The sequence below is a fragment of the Homo sapiens genome, chromosome 4, assembly GCF_000001405.40.
Source record: "Homo sapiens chromosome 4, GRCh38.p14 Primary Assembly".
Lineage (NCBI taxonomy): Eukaryota > Metazoa > Chordata > Mammalia > Primates > Hominidae > Homo > Homo sapiens.
Genome location: NC_000004.12, coordinates 7,963,656 through 7,989,265, shown reverse-complemented (window position 1 = coordinate 7,989,265; position 25,610 = coordinate 7,963,656). Strand labels below are relative to the sequence as shown.

The 25,610-nt window shown below is 52.9% G+C and overlaps 1 protein-coding gene and 1 long non-coding RNA gene across 47 annotated transcripts in view, besides 7 other annotated features; one reads left to right on the top strand and one right to left on the bottom strand.

Annotated features, from left to right (window-relative positions):
* ABLIM2 (actin binding LIM protein family member 2) overlaps positions 1-23,939 on the top strand; it is a 193,487-nt gene extending 169,548 nt beyond the window's left edge. For 28 of the 45 annotated variants that reach the window (NM_001130086.2, NM_001130084.2, XM_047416308.1 and 25 more), the window contains 4 exons: positions 4,373-4,427; positions 5,712-5,719; positions 5,922-6,002; positions 22,163-23,939. In NM_001130086.2, the coding sequence (NP_001123558.1) occupies positions 4,373-4,427; positions 5,712-5,719; positions 5,922-6,002; positions 22,163-22,276 (258 nt within the window). In that variant the 3' untranslated portion in view covers positions 22,277-23,939. Of the gene's footprint in view, positions 1-4,372; positions 4,428-5,711; positions 5,772-5,921; positions 6,003-22,162 lie in introns of those variants that run through there. The other 17 variants (NM_032432.5, NM_001130085.2, NM_001130087.2 and 14 more) reach the window with 4 other exon arrangements.
* Positions 2,746-3,698: an enhancer, noted in NCBI's record as "H3K4me1 hESC enhancer chr4:7987295-7988247 (GRCh37/hg19 assembly coordinates)". NCBI's record gives its function as "activates a minimal SCP1, AML or CMV promoter by ChIP-STARR-seq in primed H9 embryonic stem cells {active_cell/tissue: H9 hESC(primed)}" and the evidence as "EXISTENCE:reporter gene assay evidence [ECO:0000049][PMID:30033119]".
* Positions 3,699-4,653: an enhancer, noted in NCBI's record as "H3K4me1 hESC enhancer chr4:7986340-7987294 (GRCh37/hg19 assembly coordinates)". NCBI's record gives its function as "activates a minimal SCP1, AML or CMV promoter by ChIP-STARR-seq in primed H9 embryonic stem cells {active_cell/tissue: H9 hESC(primed)}" and the evidence as "EXISTENCE:reporter gene assay evidence [ECO:0000049][PMID:30033119]".
* Positions 9,770-10,064: a silencer, noted in NCBI's record as "tiled region #1176; K562 Repressive non-DNase unmatched - State 22:ReprW". NCBI's record gives its function as "represses a minimal TATA promoter and a strong SV40 promoter by Sharpr-MPRA in K562 cells {active_cell/tissue: K562}" and the evidence as "EXISTENCE:reporter gene assay evidence [ECO:0000049][PMID:27701403]".
* LOC124900657 (uncharacterized) lies at positions 15,115-19,507 on the bottom strand. Of its 2 annotated transcripts, none has more exons than XR_007058012.1 (2): positions 19,067-19,507; positions 15,115-16,312 (listed from the first exon to the last, which is right to left on the bottom strand). It is a non-coding gene; the product is annotated as an uncharacterized LOC124900657 (long non-coding RNA). The 2 variants fall into 2 exon arrangements; XR_007058011.1 differs by having other exon boundaries at positions 18,851-19,498.
* Positions 15,322-15,401: a silencer, noted in NCBI's record as "silent region_15255". NCBI's record gives its function as "represses an Ori minimal core promoter by ATAC-STARR-seq in GM12878 lymphoblastoid cells {active_cell/tissue: GM12878}" and the evidence as "EXISTENCE:reporter gene assay evidence [ECO:0000049][PMID:35858748]".
* Positions 16,647-17,203: an enhancer, noted in NCBI's record as "H3K27ac-H3K4me1 hESC enhancer chr4:7973790-7974346 (GRCh37/hg19 assembly coordinates)". NCBI's record gives its function as "activates a minimal SCP1, AML or CMV promoter by ChIP-STARR-seq in naive H9 embryonic stem cells {active_cell/tissue: H9 hESC(naive)}" and the evidence as "EXISTENCE:reporter gene assay evidence [ECO:0000049][PMID:30033119]".
* Positions 17,204-17,759: an enhancer, noted in NCBI's record as "H3K27ac-H3K4me1 hESC enhancer chr4:7973234-7973789 (GRCh37/hg19 assembly coordinates)". NCBI's record gives its function as "activates a minimal SCP1, AML or CMV promoter by ChIP-STARR-seq in naive H9 embryonic stem cells {active_cell/tissue: H9 hESC(naive)}" and the evidence as "EXISTENCE:reporter gene assay evidence [ECO:0000049][PMID:30033119]".
* Positions 20,410-20,704: an enhancer, noted in NCBI's record as "tiled region #6491; HepG2 Activating non-DNase unmatched - State 23:Low". NCBI's record gives its function as "activates a minimal TATA promoter and a strong SV40 promoter by Sharpr-MPRA in HepG2 cells {active_cell/tissue: HepG2}" and the evidence as "EXISTENCE:reporter gene assay evidence [ECO:0000049][PMID:27701403]".
* Positions 23,940-25,610: the final 1,671 nt, after the last annotated feature.

Genomic DNA, 25,610 nt, shown 5'->3' with positions numbered 1-25,610 from the left:
CTCTACTAAAAATAGAAAAATTAGCCAGTCATGGTAGCACATGCCTAATATCCCAGCTACTTGAGCACAAGAATAAAGAATGCTTGAACCTGGGAGGCAGAGGTTGCAGTGAGCTGCTGAAGTTGTTCCACTGCACTCCAGCCTGGGGCAACAGAGCAAAACTCTGTCTCAAAAAAAAAAAAAAAAAAAAAAAGACTAATGTGTCTAGTGAACAAAAAATTAAATGTACACAGAAAAATTAAATAGTACAAATAGCAAACAATCAAATAGGTATATGAAAAATATATCTCTTGAATGAGATTTTCACATGTTTGGAAAATATTTATTAAAATGTTTATGCATGTGACTACAAGACAAGCATTAACAAATTTTAAAAGTTTGGTATTTCCAAACTGTAATGCTGAAAAGAACACATGTGTTAGCATCAGACAGTCCTGAGTTCAAATCCCAGCTCTGTTTTTGGGCAAGTTACTTAAATTTTCTGAGTCTCTCTTTTCTAGTCTTTAAAAAATTATCCTTACCTCTTGAGGTCTTTTTGAGGACAAATAACATTAGAGTTGTGAAATCTTTTATAAGCTCCATAGCATGGTTCCCACATGAGTAATTATTTAAAAAGCAATTCCTGCTCTATCTTGCTTCCATGTCGCTAGCTGCTGAGTAAAGTAACACATTCCAATGTGAGCTTTAGCAAGGAAAGAAGGGTGACCAGTGGCAAATGGCCATAATCTCAATTCCTATTAGCAATTTCAGTACAGTTTTTGGAAAATAAAACACATGGGCTCAAATATTTACAGTCCCATGTATTTGTCATATGATCTCAGGCAAGTTATTTAATCTCTCTAAGGCTCATCTGTAAAGTGATAATCATGCCCACCTCCTGGAGTTGCAGCAAAGGTTAGAGAATGTACCTATAGAGCCACAGGCACGTAAGAAGTGCTAAACAGGCCGGGCGTGGTGGTTCACGCCTGTAATCCCAGCACTTTGGGAGGCCAAGGCGGGCAGATCACTTGAGGTCAGGAGTTCGAGACCAGCCTGGCCAACGTGGTGAAACCCTGTCTCTACTAAAATTACAAAAATTAGCCAGGCATGGTGACGCATGCCTGTAATCCCAGCTACTCAGGAGGCTGAGGCAGGAGAATTGCTTGAACCCAGGGACGGAGGTTGCAGTGAGCCGAGATCACACCACTGCACTCCAGCCTGGGTGACAGAGCGAGACTCTGGCTCAAAAATAAAATAAAAATAGGTAGTAAACAAATGGGACAGCTAAATCATTTGTTGCTTTTAAAATCCCTGGTGCCTGCACTGAGCGGCGTAGGGGAGTCAGCCAGGAATATGCCAGGCAGTGCTGTCTTTGTGGTGCCCTCTGGCCACTTAGCTCTCCTGCTGGTCCACACATAAAGGCAGTAACTGAAGACCCCTTGCACCTTAGAGGCCTTGCACACCCCATCCCCACTTCGCACTTACAAGACCGGAAGTAGACCCCACTTTCCCTGCTCTAGACCTAAAAAGTATTCCCCCTTCTCCACCTGGTAGATGCCTCATCTCCGTCCTAGAGTCTCCACCTTATCTCAGATCCTGGAATACCAAAGGAAGCTGGTTTTGCTGCTGGAGAGTGAGTTTCCAACCGTCCAAGGTGAAGGTGGTGCCCTGCGAGTTTTGGAAGCCCGTTATGCAGAGCGATGGGCACTAGGGGGCAGCATTTCTCTTTCACATCAGACATGCCAGGTGGCAAAGACAAGGCCATGGCTGGTTGCCTTGCTTTATACTGGGGGTTCCCTGACCAGAACAGGTGCACCTGGGATGGTAGTCTGAGACTAAGAAAATGTATCAAAACATTGTTCTTGAGTGGACATGGTGGCTCACACCTGTAATCCCAGTGCTTTGGGAGGCTGAGGTGAGAGGATTGCTTGAAGCCAAGAGTTTGAGACCAGCCTGGGCAACACAGCAAGACCCCATATCTACTTTTTTTTTTTTAATTAGCCAGGCATGGCCAGGCGCAGTGGCTCATACCTGTAATCCCAGTGCTTTGGGAGGCTGAGGTGGGCAGATAGCTTGAAACCAGGAGTTTAAGACCAGCCAGGGCAACCAAGGGAGACTCCATCTCTACCAAAAAATACAAAAATTAGCCAAGTGTGATGGCATGCGCCTGTAGTCCCACCTACCCAGAAGGCTGAGGTGGGAGGATTGCCCAGGAAGCAGAGGTTGCAATGAGCTGAGATCGTGCCACTGCACTCCAGTCTGGGTGACAGAGCCAGACTCTGTCTCTTAAAATAAAAAATTAAAAATTATTTGCATGACCGGGCGCAGTGGCTTATGCCTATAATCCCAGCACTTTGGGAGGCCAACGCGGGTGGATCACCTGAGGTCAGGAGTTCGAGACCAGCTTAGCCAACATGTGAAACCCATCTCTACTAAAAATACAAAAATTATCTCGCCGTGGTGGTAGGCGCCTGTAATCCCAGCTGCTCAGGAGGCTGAGGCAGGAGAATCACTTGAACCCGGGAGGTGGAGTTTGCATTGAGCCGAGATCACGCCATTGCACTCCAGCTTGGCTGACAGAGCAAGACTCTGTCTCAAAGAAAAAAAAGAAATTCTTTGTGAATACCCCTGAAGGCAAGAATTATTTTGTGAAGTGGTGGAGGCAAGAGGACCCTGGCTCAGGGTCCAGGCCCAGAACTAGAGTGAGGGAGCAAGGCACTAAAGAAGAAAATGCAGTCAGGATAAGTTTAATGCAATAGTTTTAGAAATCCAAATTAATGTAAAAAATTTCACGATAAACAAAATAGCAAAAATGTAAATAGAGACCAGTTCCAGTCCTCTGCCTGGGTGCTTACCCCACTCGTGAGCCTGACTCTAGCCCTCTGACTCCAGCTCTGCATCAGGAAGAAGGTCCAGCTTCCCTCGGGGCCTCGGTTTTCCTGTTTCAGATAAAGGGCTTTGGACTCGGTGCCCTCTGAGGTCTTCCTGCTCTCGTGCTCTCTAGGCTGTAACCAGCTCCTCACTGATTTCCTACTGCAAAGCTCGCGTTGAAAACACTTTGCCCTGTGACAGACCCGCTGGGCTGAGCATACCGTCTCTCCTTTGGCTGCAGAACTCTCCCTGCTGAAATGTGATCCCTGTACCCAGTTTCAGCAGCACTGGCCGAGAGCCCTGACCCCGTTTGAGACCCCGTTCCAGGTGCTGGGGAACGAAGCGTGAATAAGACATTTTCTTCAACAGGCTCCGTCCACCGCGGGCAGCCAAGGCACAACCGCAACAGAGCATGGCTCAGGGCTCATAGTGCGAACCCCGGGCCCCAGCAAGGGGCAGGAAGTGGGCAGGGGCAGGACTGCCCGACCCCTGTGGGGGTTCAATGCATGCTTTACAGGTTGGGGAACCCTCCATAGAGGTTTGCAGGACGTGTCGATGATGCTTCCAGGTGGACAGAAGGGAAAGCGTTCCAGACACTAATGGTCTCAATGCGCTAAAATGGCAGAGTTTGCTGATGAATGCCACGGGCACCTGAGACAGGTGCAGGAGCTCTCGGGCCCATCCCCCTCAGAGTGTCACCCTTAGTCATTGTCAGAGACACAGCCACCCTGTATGGGTACTTACAACATGCCAGGTGACATGCCAGGGGCCTTACAGACACGGGGCTCCTTTAACCTTTGAAACAGTCACACGCAGAGCTGCCGTGAGTACCACGGTTTCCAGGGAGGTAGGAGCCCCCTCATTTTGGAGCATTTGGGGTGGATGGACTTTGACTCGCACGCACAGCCACGTGCGTCCGCGTAGCTCTGAGAATACCCTAGGAGTTCCACAACCGTGCACAGTGCCAGAAGACGGCAGCCAGTCTTCCCCCTTGGCCATCTTGCAGGGAACAGAGGGCCCAGGGTGGACCCTGGGGCTCCCTGAGCACCTGGGACAGCAGGTTCTAGGCGCTGTGCTCAGGAACCCACCATGTGGAGGGGACAGATCACCAACGGGGAACCGCAGAGCGCTGTGCCTAGCGCAGCGTGCGCAAAGAAATGGTGCTGAGCCCCCAGTGGTCGTCTGTGCCAGCTGCAGAGTGGGGAACTCAGGCACCTGGGAGCAGCTTTCAAATGGGGTTGGAGCTGTCCACACAGGAAGGGTCTGTGGAGACCGCCCAGGCAGTGGGCATCCTATGAGCAAGAAAGCTGGCCAGTCCCACGGGCACAGCATCCTGGACTCTCCCCTTCCCAAGCCACTGTTGCTGTCCTTCTGTCACGCCCCACTGCTGTGCTAAGGACACCCTACTCCCCAGGCAGCACGAGGACCTCGGCCTCCAAGGGGCCACATCTCCTGGTCCCTGCCCATCCACACACCCTCGTGCCGCCTGTCTCTTGCCGCCCAACCTCTCTTTCTCTTCCAGAATGCCAATCTGGCCCCCTGTGGAGCAGACCCGGATGCCAGCTGGGGCATGCGAGGTACACAGAGCGGGGACCCTGTGGGTCTCTGGCTGGGGCAGGGGTCGCTAACACATTCCACAAGACTTGTTCTGAAACCACCCCATCCGCAGCCTGCAGAAGGCTCCGGGAGTGCCGGGCGGGGACACCTCGGGGGAGGGCGTGCTGGTTTCCCTGCCTCTCCTGGCCAAAAGTCAGTTCCACTCCAAGCTAGCTTTACCCGCGATGCTCCCTCTGTCCCATCCATGGCCACGGCGGCCCTGTCCTGCATTGTATGGCACTCTGTGTCACTTGGGAAAGCAGAGTCACAGGCACAAGGCTTCCAGGGTCTGAGCGGGACGGCGCTGGGCCAAACCCTGCCTGCGCCTTGCTCCCCGTGTGGCTGCCGGCACGCCGCGTGAACTCTCCGGGTTCAGCAGGGCTACTAGGAGGTTTGTGTTACCAGAGCGGCCACCTGGTCGTGTGGCAGGTGCCTGACACCTCCCACAGGCTCACCTCCTGTCAGCCTCTGTGCCCGCGAGTGGCGGGGGAGCCTTGCTCTGCTGGACTGGGTTGCATGGGGACGGAGAGCATCAGTGCACCACAGCCTGCTCCCTCTAAGTGGCCTTCAGTCCCCGGGCCTCAGAGCCAGCAGGTCCAGAACCACACGGGGCAAGTGGTGAAACTCAGGGACCGGCTCCCGACACGGGGTCTCCCTTCCGAGACTGGCTTGAGGACCAGGTTCTGTAGATACTGCTTTCTGTGGGTTCTGTGTGCGTGGAGGCCCTACGATCCACACTATTTCATTTTCGTGATAAGACGCTTTCAGTCTGGAAGTAAGACATTAGGGGGCAGAGCTCAGTAGTTTGAAAAAGAGAAAATGTAGAGTTAATAAGGTAAGACGGTGAGAGATGGGAGAGGCTCAGAACATAGCAAGATGTCAGTCTCCACAACACCCTCTAAAAGTTTCCCCTGAAATGCCCGCTGTACAGGCAGGTAAACTGAGGCTGGCATCTTTCTCAGGGTGGCCCAGACCACCAGAGAGACAGCATCACAGCTGAAAAGCACAGTGCCGCCCTCCGGCTTCCAGCCTGGCCTGCAGCCTGACCATGCCTCCTGCTCTGGTTTCCCGGGGGAGGCCCTCAGGGCCCCTCTGCCTGCAGCTCTGAGATTAGGGCCTCAGTGCAGGCTGCTCGGGGACCATGCATGGCCCAGGTGACTGCAGGGGGGAGACAGGGGTACCCCAGGGCAGGGATTGCACTCACCTTGGACGACATCTTGCACTTTCTAAACCATTTCGTGGTCTCCGCTCTCTCTCTCTTACAGAATACAAGGTAAGCGGGGCCGCTCCCACACTGACCTCCGTGCCGCGCCACACCTGCCCAGGTTAAAAGTCCTTTCTGTTGTGCTTTACCTATGAAATGTGTGTGTCAGGTGCAGACGCAAGTATGTATTCTCGGTGACCTTCTGCTCAGTTCTTTGGTGCCAGCATACACTTGCTTCGTGAGGTGACCCTGTGGTTTCCTCCCCCAACAGATCTATCCGTATGACTCCCTCATCGTCACAAACCGAATTCGCGTGAAACTGCCCAAAGACGTGGACCGGACGAGACTGGAGGTAAGCGGGGGACTGCCGGGGCAGGGGACTCATTTCCCATGCGAGAGTCCCCGCAGATGCCTCCTCCGTGGTGTCAAGGTCGTTGCCCAAGGGGCCACCGTGGGGGACAGTGCAGAGCCTTGCCGTGATGCAGAGTCAGGCCCACATTGCCTCAAAGGCCAAACGATGTGGTGATGTTCCCCAGCCTTGATGGCTTTGCAAAGAAGACCACCCTGGTTTGTGGATGAGGCAGGGAAGGCTTTGTAAGAATAATGAGCTCTGGGCTGGGCACAGTGGCTCACGCCTGTAATCCCAGCACTTTGGGAGGCTGAAGCAGGCAGTTCACCAGAGATCAGGAGTTCGAGACCAGCCTGGCCAACATGGTGAAACCCCTCTCTACTAAAAATACAAAACTTAGGTGGGCGTGGTGGCAGGTGCCTGTAATCCCAGCTACTCAGGATGCTAAGGTGAGAGAATCACTTGAACCCGGGAGGCAGAGGTTGCAGTGAGCCGAGATGGCGCCACTGCACTCCAGCCTGGGTGACAGAGAGACTCCATCTCAAATAATAATAATAATAATAATGAGCTCTGCAGGAGGTGCCTGTTCTCTCCTACTGAGGTTGAGTAAACTGCCCCAGCTTCCCACCCGACCACACTTACACCCATCTAAAATAACCGGACAAATGCAGAAAGCAAGTATGTGTTTCTAAGCACCGGCAAGGTGTCAGCAAGGAATAGGTGTTTGAATACGATCTGTTGACTGAGAGAACTGACTTAGTTGAGTAACTACTACGTGCCAAAGTGGCACGTGCAATCCTCTGTTACTCCTCACAACCGCCCTACGGTGTCCCAGCATCCAGCCCGGGGGTTTCATCTCCTGAGCCCTGTCATGAATGTGCTGCTGCCTTTCAGTAGACTCTCTTGCTAGAGTGAAGGGTCTTGAGGCTCCTGAAGGAAAGGGGACACCCAGCACCATCTGAGCCCCAAGGCTGGAGAGTGTGTATGACCCCATGTGCACAGGGCCAGCTGCCAGGCTATGCCCAAACTGCCCACCAGGCAGTGGCTCCCTCTGCAGCTGGGGAAGGAGTTGGAGGGGCGTGGATGCCGCTGAGGGGCGGTGGCTCAGTCTGCTGCTGGGGAGGGAGTTGGAGGGGCGTGGATGCAGCTGAGGGGCAGTGGCTCAGTCTCCTGCTGGGGAGGGAGTTGGAGGGGCATGGGTGCAGCTGAGGGGCACTCAGCAGTACCCTAGTGCTGGGGCCAGAGAGGGGAGAAGGCACCAGGCTGCTCCTCAGAAGGGGAAGTCTGGAAAGGCATTCCAGGCCCGGGGAAGCCCCTGAGCAAAGGCTGGCAGGGAGCAGGTGCTACAGGCTGTGTCCCCAGATAGGAAGTACGTCCTTACCAGGAACACTGAGCACGCACCCACTGCCCTGCACTAGCTGGCTGGGTGCTCTTGAGCTGTGGTTTCTGCACCTCTAAGATGAGGATATTGATTCCATTTGACCAAGCTGCTCTGCAGACGAGAGGCTGCATAAAGCCCTTTGCCCAGGGCCTGGAAAATAGCACTCCCTCGGTACAGGGAGGGGACCAGGACACTGGTGTGACTGTAGCACTGGGGATGGGATGCATCCATTTTGACCTGTTTGTTGCAAATGGTAGGAACTTGACCTAAAGTGACTTAAGCAGAGAAGGAATTTACTGTGTCCATGAAAAGTGTCAAACTGTAAAATACATCAAGAGGTTTCATCTGAGCCAAATGTGAGTGACCACCCAAGAGGTGCAGTCTAAAGAGCTCCTGAGAACACGGGCCCACGGTGGTTGGGTTACAGCTTGGTTTATATGTTTCCGGAAGATAGAAGACATCAATCAATACATGTAAGGTACACATTGGTTCGGTCTGGAAAGGTGGGACAACTCGAGGTGGGGGCTTACAGGTCATAGGTGGATTCAAAGATTTTCTGATTGGCACTTGGTTGAAAGAGTTAAGTTATTAAGACCTGTAATCAATAGAAAGGAGCATCTGGGTTAAGACAAGGGGTTGTTTGCACTGGGCGTGGTGGCTCATGCCTGTAATCCCAGCACTTTGGGAGGCTGAGGTGGGCAGATCATGAGGTCAGGAGACCGAGACCATCCTGGCTAACATGGTGAAACCCCATCTCTACTAAAAATACAAAAAATTAGCCAGGCATTGTGGTGGGCACCTATAGTCCCAGCTACTTGGGAGGCTAAGGCAGGAGAATGGCGTGAACCTGGGAGGTGGAGCTTGCAGTGAGCCGAGATCGTGCCACAGCACTCCGGCCTGGGCGACAGAGCAAGACTCCATCTCAAAAAAAAAAAAAAAAAAAATAAGGGGTTGTGGAGACCATGGTTCTTATTACGTAGATGAAGTCTCATAGGTGGCCTTCCTTAGAGGCAATAGATGGCAAATGTTTCCTATTCGGACTTTTAAAAGGTGCTAGACTCTCAGCTAATCTCTTCAGGATCAGAAAAAGAGCTAGAAAGGGAAAGGGATTCTGGAATGTAAATTTCCCCCACAAGAGACAGCTCTGCAGAGTCTTTTTTTTTTTTTCTTTGAGACAGAGTCTCACTCTGTCACTCAGGTTGGAGTGCAGTGGCACAATCTTGGCTCACTGCAACCCCCACTTCCCAGACTCAAGTGATTCTTCTGCCTCAGCCTCCTGAGTAGCTGGGACTACAGGCACCCACCACCACGCCTGGCTAATTTTTTTATTTTTAGTAGAGATGGGGTTTCACCACGTTGGCCAGGCTGTTCTCAAACTCCCAACCTCAGGTAATCTGCCCACCTCTGCCTCCCAAAGTGCTGGGATTACAGGTGTGAGCCACTATGCCTGGCCTGCAGAGCCATTTTAAAATATGCCAAAAAATATATATTTAGGGGTACAATATTTGTATTTCTTTCAGGGCCTGCTCTCTGTCATGTGATGCTATACTAGAGTCATACAGGAATTTGGTATCTTATGGCTACAGTTTTAAGATCTCTGTTTTAATGTTAATGTTATCAGTTGTGCCTGAATTCCGAAGGGAGGAGGGTAGAATGAGACATGTCTGACTCGCCCCCTCTTCCCTTCATGGCCTGAACTAGGTTTGTAGGTTTCTTTGAAATCCCCTTGGCAGAGAGGGGGGGTTCATTCCTCCTCAATCAGCCATTGCAGGGCTTAGAATTAATTTTTGGCTTACAGCTGGCTCTCATGACTGAATGTCTCCTTCAGGTGTGGCTTAATCAAGGGCTAAATTATGTCTCCAGCACCCAGTTTCCTTCCTTCTATCTTTTGACTGTGCTTTTTCTGTGCTGGCTCCATTGATAGACTTTTACCTCACCTCTCTCAGGCTCTAAATCTGCGGGGAAGAGACCCACATCTTTCTCTCTCTCAGCAGTCCCAGAAAAAGCCCCATCTCTGCCCTTGAGTAGGTAATATGACCACCCTTTAATCAGCTAGTTTGACCCAAGGAATGCAATGCCCTAATTGGCCAGGCTCAGCCATAGGCCCGTGCCTGGGCTAACAGGGCTGCTGACATCACCTGAGCTGGGTGGCGTATTTAACACTCCATCTTAGATAACCGGGAGAGAGGAAAGAAGGAAGTGAATCTACAATGAAGGTGAATGGTTATGAGGAAAGGGGTCTTCTCTGGTGCCCTTTGGTCATTTACAACGTTTTACAAAACAATGTAGGTAAGGAAAAAGACTAATCTGTAATCAGAGAAACAAAGGTGACAGCTGCTTAGGTTACAGCTGCCTGTCACATGACTCAGGTCCTATAATCATATTCTCTTAAGGCTCAAAATATGTTAAATTTCCAACAGCTTAGATTTTGAACAGCAACTTGTTTTCACATTCCTAAAGATGGGGAAGAGAATGCCGGGCCACAGGCAGCGAGTGTTTGCCTGCGGGAGGGTGGGAGATGGGGCTGAGCAGGAGGGAGAAGCCACATGGCAAGCCCTTGACTGCCGTGGCCAGTCAGTGCGGTCAGTCCTCCAGGGTGTGCCGAGCACCCAGATGTGTGGGGATCGTGCTAGCAAAGGAACCGCAGAGCCAGATAGCACAAGGGCCTTTGCCGGGGGGAGCTGGCAGCTTGTGGGACATTTGGACTTAACCCCACAGAAGAGGAAAGGCCACCAAAAGGTTCTGATGTGTTAGGATGTGCATGGGTCATCAGTAGGAGGACGCCAGGCAGCAGGAACTGGCTAGGAAGCTGGCATGTGGGTCCAGACAGCACCAGGTGGGTGGAGAAGCCCAGCATCTGCGCAGAGTGAGTGTGCAGGTGAGGCTGTGAATCCAGTGAGTGCGCAGATGAGGCTGCAAATCCAGTACGGCCCGCCTCACACTCAGGAGGCGCCCCTGCCGTCTCATCCTCAAGACCTCTCTTGGGTAGCCTCTGCCTACCATCACATGGGACCATCCCCCAGTGGCCAGAGAAGGCACCCCAAAAGGAACTCCAACACTGCTAGCAGCCTGCGGGGACGCATTCTTCAGCTCCTGTTGAAGTTGTTTCCTTGAGTTCTGTGGTCAGGTCCCATCCCAAGCACGAATACTACTGACCTTTGTAAAATGGTTATCACTGGTGGGGTGGGTGGCTCACCCAGTCAGGAACTGCTGGGAGGGTTCCTGCTGGCTGTGTTTCTTTGTTCCTCAAAGGGCGTGTCCCCTCTGGGCTGTCTAATGGTGCTGGAGTTAATTGCTCTCACCACAAAAGGTGAGCTCAGCCAGCAGGTCTGGCAGCTCCTGGCCCAGCAGCAGCGTCCAGGGGCCTGTTGGGACTCACAGCAACCCTCTTGGAACTGTAGTATGCTTGACAGGACTTCTATTTCACTTTTTTTTGGCAATAATACAACATGAAAATTGTAAAATACAAGTGGTTAACATTTGTAAATGTATCCTTTTAAAACACCCTCTGACAGCTGGGTAATGGTTTTAATCACTCAGATTTCCAAGAACACACCCAAGGGTGCGACCCTAGTCCTCCTTCCTCCTCAGGCTCAGCCAAGCCAGGAGGCAACTGGAAATGTTACTACATATGGGGAATGCCCCTCTTTTCTCAGCAGCGGCTGCCTGTCTGCCTCGGGCTGAGAGTGGGACGTGAGCCAGAGGGGGTGCAGGAGCGGCCACCTCCCAGCAGGAGAGAAAGGGACCCCTGGTGTTTTTCTTTCAGAGGAAAGAGCTTTATTTTTAATATATATTTAAAAAATCTTAACTGTCATAAAAGTCCAGAAAAATACAAAGAAGGACATAAACCTCTTAAGGAATTCCCCCACCCAGTCACAGCTGATAACTCAGTGGGAGATATGCTTCTGGAAATCTCTTGCACATCATCTCAGAGCTAACTGAATCCTATTTTGGATCAAGAGGGCTCATACTGTATATCCAGGTTTGACATCCTGCTTTTTGCTTTCAAATTTGACACGGATATTTCTAGGCCAGTCAATGCTGATCTGCCCCACCTTTTATTTATTTATTTATTTATTTATTTATTTATTTATTGAGACAGAGTCTCCCTCAGTCTCCCAGGCTGGAGGGCAGTGGCGCAATCTCAGCTCACTGCAGCCTCCACCTCCTGGGTTCAAGCGATTCTCCTGCCCCAGCCTCCTGAGTAGCTGGGACTACAGGCACCCACCACCACACCCGGCTAATTTTTTGTGTTTTTAATAGAGATGGGGTTTCACCATGGTGGCCAGGCTGGTCTCAAACTCCCGACCTCTGGTGATCCCCCCACTTCAGCCTCCCAAAGTGCTAGGATTACAGGCATGAGCCACCACACCGGCCTACCCTACCTTTTAAATGGCAATATGGTGGCCCACTGGGAATGTGGTTCCCACAGGGGACGTTTGTGTGCCTGTGTGCATGCATGTGTGTGTATGTGTGTATACCTGTGTGCATGTGTGATATGTGCATATACATGTGGGTATGTGTGTGTATTCATCCATTTTTACACTGCTATAAAGAAATACCCGAGACTGGGTATTTTATAAAAGGAAGAGGTTTAATTTGCTCACAGTTCTGCATGACTAGGGAGGCCTCTGGAAACTTACAATCATGGTGGAAGGCAAAGGGGAAGCAAGGCACATCTTACATGGTGGCAGGAGAGAAAGAGAGTGTGAAGGAGGACCTGTCAAACACTTAAAATACCATCAGATCTCGTGAGAACTCACTCTCTATCACGAGAACAGCATGGGGGAAACCACCCCCAGGACCCAATCACCTCCCACCAGGTCCCTCCCTCCACATGTGGGGATTATGGGGATTACAATTTGAGATGAGATTTGAGTGAGGACACAGCCAAACCATATCAGTGTGTGTGTGTGTATACACGTGACTGTGTGTATGTATGTATGTGGATATGTGTGTATGTGTGTATGTGTGTGTGTACATGTATGTGTGTATATGCGTGTGTGTATGTTTATGTATGTATACGTGTATGTGTGTATATGTGTGTGCATGTGTGTATGTGCGTCTATGTGTGTATACATGTGTATGTGTGTATACTTGTGTGTATGTGTATATGTGTCTGTATATGTGTGTGCATATTTGCATATGTGTATGTGTGTGTATGCATATGGATATACGTGTGTGTGCATGTGTGTGCATGCACATGTGTGTGTGTGCATGTGTTGTGTAAGATGAGGGATGGCAGGTAGGAAATGAATTCCAGGAACAACAAAGTACCCGTGCAAAGGACCTGGGACAGGAGGGAGCCTTAGCTGCTGGAGGAAGTATACGAAAGCTGAGGTGTCTGGACCTGAGCCCGGATAGGCCCTGCAGGGCCCTGGATTGTGTTAAGCAGTTTGGTTTTTAGCCTAAGAGCAATGGCATTTATGACCAGGTGTGCAATTGAAAACAACCCCTGTGGCTACATGGTGAAGCCCAGATTGGCTGCGTAGAGGCAGGGAGACTGTTTCAGGGCCATTTGGGTCTGGGGCAAAGCATGATGGCATCTTGGACACTGTTTGTGGACTGGTGAGTGTGAGAAGTGGATGGATGCAGATGATCTGTGGGAAGTCGAAGGGGCGGAACTTGGTGATGGAAAAGTACCCCAGGTGTCGCTGCAGGCTGTGCGGGTGCGATGGTGACACCCAGCCAGATGCTCTGTGCCCATGAGCAGCAGCCAGTCACTGTGACAGTGGATTTCACAAAAGAGGAAAAATTTATTCACAAGACTGCTGAGCAAGGAGACTGCAGAACAAATCTCAAACTTGCCTCCCAGAAGAGTAGGGCCTAGGGAGGAATAAGAAGTGGGTGGTCTAAGGCGTGGGAAAGATGACTGCTGGTGGGAAAGGTGAGGGCATGGGGACTTTGCCTGAACACGATTGAGCTACATGGTTCTTCGTGGGACATATGTTTAAGAAAAAGACATTGTTAGCGTGATCCGAGAAAGGTGTTTTTGGCCCTCTGAAGTCGGGCATTCGCTCAGGCCTACTTGAAGGGCTCATGGTCTCTACTGGCTTAAAATGGACAAGAGCTAACTCTAAGTTCCCAAAACACAACTTTAAGCAACCGTTACTATAGCGACGCACACATCAGAGATGTTATCCGTAAGGGAGCTAGTGGGAATTTAGTTAGATATTGTTTGGCCACGTGACTTTTAGCTATATATGTTAAAAAATTAAGGAGCAAGTGACTAGAAGCAAGCAGGCAGATTAAGTTTGGAGGCCCAATCAGATGAGTCCCTTGGTTTCAAGGGGGATGGAGCGGACATCATTTAGTGGAGCAGCATGTGGGCAGATGTGATTAACACTCACTGATGGGGCATGGCCAAGGGGATGCAGGATGTCCAGCCACGCAGCAGTGAAAGGTGCCACGCGGCACATAGTAGGTGTTCAGTTAGAGTGGATAAGTACGCAGGAGTGTGGAGAAGCTGTGATCATCCTCTTCCACTCTGGGAGGGCTGTCCCATGGAAGAGGGTCAGATGAATCAGGTGGTGCCAACATGCAGAGCGGGGTTCAGCACACAGAGCTCATAAGAGGCAGAGCTGAGGTTCAAACTAAGGTGTTGCTGAGAGCCACTGCAATATGCTGTCTTCTGAGTTAATTGCAGTGTGGAAAATGAATTTTTTTTTGAGACAGGGTCTCACTCTGTCACCTAGGGTGGAGTGCAGTGGCACAGTCACAACTCACCACAGCCTCAACCTCCTGAGCTTAAGTGATCCTCTCACCTCAGCCTCCTGAGTAGCTGGGACTACAGGCATGTGCCACCACGCCCAGCTAATTTTTTACTTTTTGTAGAGACAGGGTCTTACTATGTTGCCCTGGCTGGTCTCAAATTCCTGGGCTCAAGTGATCCTCCCACCTCAGCCTCCCAAAGTGCTGGGATTTCAGTCATGAGCCACTGCGTCCAGCCTGAAAATGAATTTCTAACCTGTCTTAGGTGTCCCCAACTTCCCAGTACAGACAGGCATATTGCTCCTTAGATAGGAAAGTCTATCAACCAGGGTTTTCCAGAGAAACAGAACCATTAGGTGGATGGATGGTGGTGGATGAATGGAGGGATGCATGGATGGATAGATAGATGGATGGATAGATGGATGAGTGGATGCATGGGTGGGTGGATGGATGGGTGGATAGATGCATGGGTGGGTGGATGGATGGGTTGGTGGATGGATGGGTGGATGGATAGGTGGGTAGGTGGGTGGATGGATGCATGGATGGGTGGATGGATGGATGGATGGATTGGATGGTAGGATTGGATGGATGGATTGGTGGATGGGTGGATGGGTAGGCGGTTAGGTGGATTGATGGGTGGATTAATGCATGGGTGGACAGATGAATGGATTAATGGGTGGATAGATACATGAGTGGATGGATGGGTGTGTGGGTGGATGGATGAGTGGGTGGGTGGGTGGAAGGGTGGGTGGATGGATTGGTGGATGGATGGGTGGATGGATGGGTGGATGGGTGGATGGATGGATGAATGGAGGAGTGGATGGATTGGTGGATGGGTGGATGGATTGGTGGGTGGATGGATTGGTGGATGGGTGGATGGGTAGGTGGGCAGGTGGGTGGATGAATGCATGGGTGGATAGGTGAATGGATGGATAGATGGATGAGTGGATGGATGGGTAGGTAGGTGGGTGGATGGATGGATGGATAGATAGATAGATAGACAGACAGACAGATAGCCACAGCCATATACTAAGAAATTTATTTTAAGAACTTGGCCCACACAATTGTGCAGGCTGGCAATTCTGCAATGTGAAGGGCAAGCCAGCAAGCCGGGGACTCAGGCAGGAGTTGATATTCCAGGCTGGGTTTCTTCTCTGGGAAACCTCAGTATTTACTCTTCAGGCTGCCAACAGACTTCATGAGGCTCCTGCATTATTGAGGGCGATCTCCTTCTCTTGCAGTCAGCTGACTGTCAGTGTGAGCCGCATCTGCAGCACACTTTCACAGCAGCATCTAGACTAATGCATGACCAAACAACTGGGCCCCACAGCCCAGCCACGGCGACACATACAGCTCAGCCATCTCAGAACGCAAGGTGGATGGGTGGAAAGGGACTTGTTGTCTGGCCTGAGGCCCTCCCGGTCCATGGCTCGTGGATTCACACTCTGAGACCTTTCTGCTTGCTTGGCAGGGCAGGGCTTAGCAGGAAAACAACCCCGTAGCCACAGGAGTTTTTGTAAATTGCACACTTAGTCATAAATGCCATTGCTCTTAGGCTAAAAACCAAACTGCTTAACACGGTCCAGGGCCCTGCAGGGCCTATCCTGTCCTCACCTTTCCCGGCTCAGGTCCAGACACCTCAGCTTTCTTTTTTTTCTCTCTTTTTTTTTTTTCAAGACGTAGTCTCACTCTGTCACCCAGACTGGAGTGCAGTGGCACAATCTCAGCTTACTGCAACCTCCACCTCCTGGATTTAAGTGATTCTCCTGCCTCAGCCTCCCGGGTAGCTGGGACTACAGGCATGTACCACCACGCCTGGTTAATTTTTGTATTTTTAGTAGAGACGGGGTTTTGCCATGTTGGCCAGGCTGGTCACGAACTCCTGATCTACCCGTCTCAGCCCCCCAAACTGCTGGGATTACAGGCATGAGCCACTGTGCCCAGCCGACACCTCAGCTTTCTTATGCTTCCTCCAGCAGCCAAGGCTCCTCCTGCCCCAGGGCCTTTGCACATGCACTTTATTCTTCCTGGAATTCCTTTCCTACTTGCCATCCCTCACCCTACACACACACACACACACACACACACACACACACACAGCAAGGGGAGCAGCTCATTGCTGGAGTCCTGTGGTTTCTTGAACTGTCGTCTTCCAGGCCCTGAGGCCAAATGCACACCAGGGTTTGCTCAAGCAGTGAGAGCCCAAATTGTTGGAATGCGCCTGAAAAATAAGGGCCCCACAGTGAAAGAATATCTCCTTTGTTTAAACTCATCCAACTGGTCTGATGAGAGGGTGTGTCCTGGTAGACTGAGGGTGACAATAGGAGGTTTGGAGCCACATGGGTGTGTCTGAGAGATGGGTTTGCACCAGAATCCCAGCCTCCCTGGCCAAGACAAGGAAGAGAAACACAAGCAGAACTGTGTGGCTGGGAGAAAGCGTCGGGAGTCAGGAGAGTGGCAGGCAGAGGCCAAATGCAGGGGCCTCGTAGGCCAGGACAGTGGCGGGGGAGCCCCCGTGGCGCCACAGCAGAGAGCAGGACAGGCAGTGGAAGCTGGAGGTGTTGGGAGGCAGCACTGCAGAGGGGACAGCCCAGATTCAGATTCACAATGCAGACCAGACATCTTGTCCCTCAGTGAGGATGGGACAGTGCTGTGAGCAGACAGGCCTGTGCCCACCCTCATGGTGCTGAGAGCCAGAGAAGGTCAGCACTGACTCAGCCTTGAGGGACACAGCATAGCCCCAGGGCCTGCTTGGTGAGCGCAATCTAGGAGGGCCTCCAGGAGGAGGGGACACTTGAGTCAGGACCAGTAGGATGACGAAGAGCTGCTGGTGAATGGGAGAGGGAGCACTGCATGGTGCTTCCCCTGGGCTTTCACAGTACACCACGCAGCAGAGGAGTGGAGAAGAGGCGTGCAAGGCTGTGGAGGGGCAGGGCCCTGGGGCCACCTGACAGCCACGTCATTGCCCCGCTAAGCCGCTGTCCCCTCTGTGCCCCATAGGCTGTGGAAGAGGTCCCGGGGTATGGAGGGAAGGCTCTCCTGGAGGGGCAATGGCCACCGTCATTATGACAGTGATGTCACTGTAGGTCCTGCAGGGACCTCCTGCTGGGAGGGCTGGAGCTTCCGGGCCTGGGCCCGGCTTAAGCAAGACTCACCCCTGTATGCAGGGCCTCCTTGTGCAGGCCAAGGCAGTGTGAGCCGGTGGAATGCACCACGGAGCCCAGGCCTTGGGAGAAAAGTGGCCCCTTGCTGGCCCTGGGGGCCCAGGCTGAGCAGGGCTAGGACCTGAGGCCCACCCGGTCAGCCAGCCCTGTGCTGGTACAGAGGGGTGGCTGTGACTGGTGGGCTGTGTGGAGGAAGGAGGTGTCAGAGTCCCTCCCAGGGGTACCTCTGAGCTTGGTGGGGTCAGGGAAGCTGGGAGTACCCTGAGGGGACTTAGGGCTGGAGGTTGGTAGGGGGGTAGGCCAGGGCAACCTGTCCCTGATGGAGTGGAGGTGGCATAGGTCCCTGAGGCTTCACCGCAAACCTGAGATGGCCCTGGAGGTCCAGGTGGGAGGCAGGAAGTAAGGGTGGAGGAAAGGTCAAGCCACCTAACCTGGCTCCCAGGTCTGGCTCTGCCACTTCCTGGCTATGTGACCTTGGGCAAGTCACACAACCTCTCTGAGCCTGAGCCTCCTGAGGCAGTCCCCCTGCCATGCTGCAAAAATGCCTCCCTGCAGGATGTTCCCTGGGGAAACCAGTGCACCTCAGCAGTGAGGCTGCCCCACCCTCTGCAAAGACCCCCACCCCAGGCTTCCTTCCTTCCAGCTGTGCTTGTCCTGCGCGGGCCCTGGGGGTGAGGTGCACTCCTGCAGGGCCTTCAGGAACCTGGGGTCAGAGGAGCTGGCTTGAGGCCAGAAAGCTGGCCCAGTCTCTGGGGTCAGCTGGGCCTCACCCACCCTGCCTGCCCTGGCAGACCCATGGAGAAAGCCTGCCTGCCTCTGGCCCTGAGTGAGATTGAATGCCAGTTTTGCAGCTGGCCACAGAGTAAGGACCTTTGAGCCCCTCTCACCTAGGAGGCAGTGGAGACTCAGCCAGGTGAGGTGTGACACTCAGAATTCCACAGCTGGAGCCCAGAGTTATGAACAGACCCCCTGCTGCGGAGAGCCCCTCATGTGACCCTCACCCAGCCTTCCGGATACCCAGGCAACCAAGTTCTCTCACGCTGCAGACAGAAAACAGGACTGGAGCCTGCGGGGAGGTGGTCCCTGTCAGCCCCCTAGACCCCTGGCCCCAAGTCCTGGGCCCTGTAGGCCACATACGAGTGGCCTGGCCCAGCCCACATGCTCGGGACACCCCCGGCCCCTCCCTGTTGCTGTGGTCTGCCCAACCAGGCTGCTCCCCAGGGCCTCTGGTGATGGAGCGTCCCAGTCCCAGTGCCACACTCCCAGAGAAGGTAACCATTCCCAGCAACTTCAGAAGCCACCCAGATGCTCCCTCCACCGCCCCCCCACAGTCATCCCCAAGGGCACCTCTGCTTCCCACACCCACCTCCCAACACCCTGCCAGCCTTCCTGCTTGCCCGCCAGCTCCAAGTCTTCCTCGAATCGCCCTCCCCAGAGGCTCCCACAGCCTGGAGCACATGGTGTCATCCTCAAGCCTGCCCTTCTCTCCTTCCCCAGCATGCGGGGCACGCCTGCCCACCATCCGCTCCCTCTCCACTCCTCCCTCCTCCAGCAAAGACCTGATGCCAGCTAAACCCAAGAGACCACTCACTCACCAGTCCTCCTCCCTTTAAGTACACGATTGCAGATGGCAGGGGGCACACCACCCCCTTGACACCTTCCCTCTGCCCACCAGCACCTTTGCGCCCCTCCCTTAGCCTCCCCCAGCAGGAAGCAGGAATGTGGCCACAGGGAGGCCTGCCCCAGGCACCAGCACTGAACTCTCCTCGCCCTTCCGGTGTCAGCCTCCCCTCCTTTACATATTTACTTACGTGTCAGTTCACCACCCCAGCCTACCCCTGCCAGGGGCCTTGTGTCTCTGACTTTCCATGTCTGGAACAAGGTCTGGTATCACCAGGTCTTGGATAAAGCTAGAAATGATTTTCCTTTTTCTTTCCTTTGATCTCATCCGTCTTGATTGTTCCACCATAATTCAGAAGATGGTGATTTTGTACCTGTAAGTGCAGGGCTGCTATCTTAAATGACACATTGAGTGTCAAATGTCTTAAGAGACGCGGTCTGAAATGACAATTCTAAGTTTCTGTGGACTGGCTGATGGATTTCTCAGCACCAAGAAACCCTGATCTCAGCACCACGCAAGTGGTTCATTTCTGGCAAGCACCAGGATTCTTTTCCTCTTTGCAAACTCGAGATAGCAGCAGGCGGCTGAGGGCCTCTTCCTGGCAGACTTGCTGGATAGGCTGTGTGTGTGTGTGTGTGTGTGTGTGTGTGTGTGTGTGTCAGAGAGAGAGAGAAAGAGAGACTGACTCTGAGCCCAGATTCAACTAAAACATGGCATTCTGGGGGATTTCCTGAGTCCCTCCTCCAGATCACCCCAACTACTGGGGCTGCAAAATCCAGGGCATACCACACAGATTTGGTGATTCTTGTGAAATGCGTGAGTGGCAATGGTTTACACTTTTCATAGTTGACCAGATGTCTCCACTTCCATTTTCTCTTTTGCTAATCACAGTGATTCTAATATAGCACTTGAGTTTTTTGTTTGTTTGTTTGTTTGAGACAGGGTCTCACTGTGTCACCCAGGTTTGAAGTGCAGTGGTGTGATCACAGCTCACTGCAGCTTCAACCCCCTGGCTTCAAGAGATCCTCCCACCTCAGCCTCCTCAGTAACTGGGACTACAGGTACACGCCAGCGCACCCAGCTAATTTTTGTAATTTTTGTAGAGATGGAGTCTCACCATGTTGCCCAGGTTGATCTCAAACTCCTGAGCTCAAGTGATCTGCCCGCCTTGGCCTCCCAAAGTGCTGGGATTACAGGTGTGAGCCACCACACCCATCCAAATTGACCATTTTAACTATTTTATTTTATTTATTTTTTTGAGATGGAGTCTTACTCTGTCACCCAGGCTGGAATGCAATGGTGTGATCTCAGCTCACTGCAACCTCCACCTCCTGGGTTCAAGCGATTCTCCTGCCTCAGCCTCTCGAGTAGCTGGGATTACAGGCATGTGCCACCATGCCTGGCTAATTTTTGTATTTTTAGTAGAGATGGGGTTTGCCATGGCTGGTCTTGAACTCCTGACCTAAGGTGATCCACACGCCTCAACCTCCCAAAGTGCTGGGATTACAGGCGTGAGCTGCCACCCCCGGCCCATTTTAACCATTTTAAAGTGTACCATTCAGTACAGTTCAGTGTATTCACAACATTGTGCCACCAACCCCACTCTCCAGCTCCGGAACATTCCAACTCCGGAACATTCCAGCTCCGGAACATTTTCTTCACCACAAGAGGAAACCCCATATCCGTTAAACAGTCCCTCCCCATTCCTCTCTCCCCCAGTCCCTGGCGACCACGAATCCATGCTCTGTCTCTATGGACTTGCCTGTTCCGGACACTTCAGAGAAGTGGAATCATATACTATGTGGTCTTTGGTGTCTGGCTTCCTTCATGGAGCCAGTGTGTTTGGGGCTCATCCATGCTGTGGCATGTGTCGGAACTTCACGACCTTTTAAGGCTGAAGGCTATTCCGTCACATGGACATGTCACATTCTGTGTATCTATTCGTCCATTGATGGACACCTGGTTTGTTTCCACATTGCAGTGATTTAGAGTAATGCTGCTAGGAACATGGGCGACCATCATCTCTCTGAGTCCCTGTTTTCCATTCCTCCGGGTGTCTGTCCAAGAGTGGATGGCTGGGGCATATGATAACTGTGTGGAGTGTGTCGCAGAACTACAGAAAACTCCCCACAGAGCTGCACTGAAGCCACGCTTTTCAGAAGGCAGCAGATGGTGATTCAGGGCAGAGCCTGGCCTCTTCCTGTCACTGGCCTTCTCCAGCCTCTTTCCAGTTCCTCCTCTCAGCCCCGCCCAGGCGAGGCGAGGGGAGCAAAGGGAAGCATCCCCGTGGATGGAAAGTCCCAGGCTCCCTAGAAAAGCTCCTTAGGGGAGGGGACGCCTGAGCCAGCTCTGAGGGATGCGGGGTTTCTCAGAGCCTGCTGAGGAAGACAGGCAGGAGAGTAGGGGTTGCAGGCCCTGCAAGGCAGAGCTAGAAGGCAGGTGGCTGCTTGGCAAGGAGCTCCACAGAGCTTGCGGTGGCTGAGGTCATACTAACACATGCAGCCAGCACCCACGGGTACAGTCCACAGCCAGTGCTGACCTATGTCCACGCCTTCCTCCCCACAGCTCCAGGGTGTGGGCTCTAGGGGACCCCATTACACAGATGAGCAGACTGAGGCTCCAGGGTCTAACTCACTCCTATGGCATCCCAGAAGCACTGGTATCCACGCCCTGACCACCAAGCTGTGTGCCTTTCCACGGTGACCACAGACAAGAAGCTGAGCTCAGAGAGGCACAACAGCTCTCTCACGCTTACACACCAGGGGCTTCCGGTGGAGGGAGGATTTGCGCCTGGGCCTGGGCCGTGCCTGGCATTCTTGCTCACTGTCCGCGCCCCACCCTCCTGGGCTACGAAGTCCCGGGGGTAAACCTTCCACCTCCTGCTCTCGGATGGCAGCTGTGACCACTCACTGAAGTAACAAATATGACCACTGAAGGAAATCTATAAAAGCTCAGACATTTGCACGCAGGTGGGGGTCCTGCTCTGGGACATGTTAATGAACTTGGTCCACAGCAGCAGATACCTTTGTAGGAGTCAAGAGCAGAAGATTCTGGCTCCAGCTCCACCACTGGGTGCTGTGTGTCCCTGGCAGGGTCGCTGTCCTCTGAGCTCAGTTCTTTCACTGCAGAGAGGGTGTCAGGAACCGCCAGGAGGCCGAGCACGCTGAGGGCCACCCCATCCTCAATGCAATCCTGCCCCTGGATTGCTTGGCGGCAGCAAACTGCCCAATGGTGTCCCTTGCTGCGTGGCTAACTGGTCCCTTCTGTTTTGCCTTTTTGTTTGAAGAGACACTTGTCGCCCGAGGAGTTCCAGGAAGTGTTTGGGATGAGCATCGAGGAGTTTGACCGCCTGGCCCTCTGGAAGAGGAATGACCTTAAGAAGAAAGCCCTTTTGTTCTGACGGCTGCCAGCCTGCCCCACTGGTGTGTGCCGGGCGCCGAGGCCAGGGGCCCCTGGCGAGAACCGCACACACCCCTCCCACACACCTTGCTCTGGCTTCTCTGTGTCCATGGGGTGGGCGGGAGGGGGTCCCCCAGCAGGTGCGGCCCCTGCACCTGCCGGCGACACTCCTGCCGGTAGTTTAGGGCCGAGACGGCTAGCTTCACGCCACCCTTCCCCGCTGTGGCTTGGTGTCAGGGAGAGGCTGTAGAGTGGCTGTGTCGGGCATCAGATGGAGCACACAGGTGGCTGCAGCCCAGCCCACCTTCCCAGCGTTCTCGAGGTGCCCTGGCCCCGGTGCTGGGCACGTGGGGGACAGAGGTGGCCGGGACGTGAGCTGTGAGGCTTGTTGATGATGGTTGCTGACACCATCATCGGGGGTGGGCACACGGCCCTTCGGAGCCTGGGCAGCCTGGCCTCACAGGCAGACTCGCAGACGGGGCAGTGAGCGTCTGGGACAGTGCCAAGAGTGGGGTGTGTGATTTTTGCAGGCGTCTGTGATGGGTCTCTTTAGGGACAAATGTCAACAAGGGACAAGACAGGGCACCTTCCGCCAGCGCCCCTCCATGCGCTGCGTTCCTCCTCCAGATCGACCCCTAGATGCCTACACAATATCTTTAAAGTAACACAGAAGTTTTTATTTTATTAAAAAGTATAGCCTACTTAAACGCGAGATGACATATATAGAGTTTAATTTTACGGTCCCTCCGCAGGGGAGCGGCCTCCAGCCTTATTCTCCACCGCTCGGATCTGTGTGGTTTCAGTCTGTTCTTGGTGTGGTCCTCATACACAGAGCTCCCTGTCTAGTTTCTTTTCTTTTTCTTTTTTCTTTTTCTCGTCACACAGGTAACCTTAAAGACAGACCCCTCTAAAGAACGCTTTGTAAATACATGTGAGGTATAGCCACCACTGTTTTCCTTGCTGTTATTTTTCCAAGTCTTGGGGAGAAAACATCCTCCTCTGATGGCCAAAGCCCTGGAATCAAGGGTTTCCACGTACCCTGCCTAATACCCGACGTAGCTCTTGATGCACCGTCCTTGTGCTGTGGCTGGCGGTGTCTCAGCCTGAAACATAAACCCCACATGCCCCAGGAGCGATGTGCTCCCTGAAACAGACAACCACACGCTGTTGGGGAGAGAAGGATGGAGATAGGATGGAGATAGGATGGAGATGTGGCTCTTCTCATCTTTGAAGCCAGCAGGGCATCCCGGAGCAGGAGGCTGGCCGGGCTCCCCAAGCGAAGGCGTTGGTGTCTGTCATTAGGTGTGTGTTAGGGTGCAGCACCGGCCGTCACAGGATGCTGATAAGCGCGCTGAGAGGTGGATGAAACACCAAAGTCTGTTTCCCCGTCCGCAGTGGGTGTTGCCTCTTTGTGTGTGTCCCGATGTTCCTGCCTGTGAGTCGGCCTTACTCCGTTTCCTTAGCGCCCATGACACGCCAAGTCCCGTTTCGCACTCGGCTTCTCACCCGCCCAGCTCGGCTAGGGAGGGGGAGTTTTTAGCACCTAATATGCTTCCTGCCATTGCGCAATCTGAGCCTGAGCAACTGGAAACCCCCATTTCTCATTAGTGCAATGTCATATCTGATCCCAGGAAGCCTGGAAAATAAAAGACGATGCATTATAACTTGCGGAAGTACAAGATCACTTGTTATGAACTTGTGTGATTTTAAAGGCAAGGCCCCTTCTGCAAGCAGTGCTTGCGGAGGGCACCCGCTCCAGGCTCAATGCTGGGTGTGCGCATGGGGCAGGTGAGGCCTTGGGGAGGGGCCAAGTGTCTGCATTAGGGCCCTGTAGGACATTCCCCAGAGGCAGCTTGCACTGACACATTCCTGGGCCCTCACCAGGGCCAGGCCCTCTGCTGATGGCAGTGATGAGGGAAACCTGATACGCACCTGCCCCGGAGGCTGGGGAGACAAGGGCAGCCAGGCTGATCGCTGCTCTGTGGAGCTGGCCCCAAATACACCCCTAGGTCAGGGGAGGCTTTCTGGGCAAGATGCTGCCCAAACTAAGTCTTGATAAATGGGAGGTAAGGGAATAAATACCTCCCCAGTAAGGGAAGGGCATCCCGGGCAGCTGGAACAGCAGTAGCGGAGGCGCTGAGGCTGGAAACAGCCTCCCAGGTTCTGGAAAATTCGGTGGCTGGTTATGGCTGAGCACAGGGCCAAGGAAAAGAGTGGAAGGAAAGTCCCCATGGTCACAGCCCCAAACTGTGGCTCTCTCTGAGTTCTGCAGACACCAAGCCTTCCGGCTTTCACCCATGATCTCCCTCCTGGGGGAGCTCTGCTTCTTCTCAACACAGGGCCCCTCCCTTCCTTCTCAGTTCGACTCAGAAACTCCCCTGTCATACAGGGCCCTCTGCTGACTTTCCAAATTGCCACCCATCCCCACCCTCCTCACAGTACCTCCTCATGCCCTCTGTGTATCAGCAGTTTCTTCTATTTTATTTTATTTATGTATTTATTTGAGAGAGTCTCGCTCTGTCACCCAGCCTTGAGTGCAATGACACGATCTCCGCTCACTGCAACCTCCACCTCCCAGGTTCAAACAATTCTCCTGCCTCAGCCTCCCGAGTAGCTGGGATTACAGGCGTGCACCACCACACCTGGCTAATTTTTTGTATTTTCGGAGAGATGGGTTTCACCATGTTGGCCAGGAATGGTCTGGAACTCCTGACCTCAGGTGATCCTCCTTCCTCAGCCTCCCAAAGTGCTGGGATTACAGATGTGAGCCACCGCGCCCGGCCCACAGTTTATTCTTTCTCACTTTATTGACCGTTTCCCTCCATCAAACCCTAAGCCCGAGAGGACTGACGATTTTGTAACCACGCTCTATGAACTGGGAATATCTTTGGAGTATTTCGTAGCAAGGCTGGAGTCCATCTGGTTTCTGTGCTTTCCCCAAAGAGTCTTATGGCGTTCGTGCTTCTAGCATGGCACCGTCCTATCGCACTGCCTGTGATGACGAGGACATTCTACATCCACACTGTCCAACACGGCAGCCACCAGCGCTTGAAATGCAGCCAATGCGAGTGGAACGGAGATTTCAATGTAACTCATTTAGAGTTAAGGAGCCACGTGTGGCTACTGGCTGCATACTAGACAGTGCAGCACCCTGAGGATTAGAAACCGCTGCTGCCCTAAGCTGAGACATGCATGTCCACAGGCCTTGGGATCTGTCACTCTTGTCTCGCAACAAGTGTTCATTGGTGCCTGGTCTATAGGATCAATTGAGAATGCACTTGCTGAGCATGCATCTGTGCCTGGCACTGTCCTGGGTGCAGGGGTGTGCTTGGCAC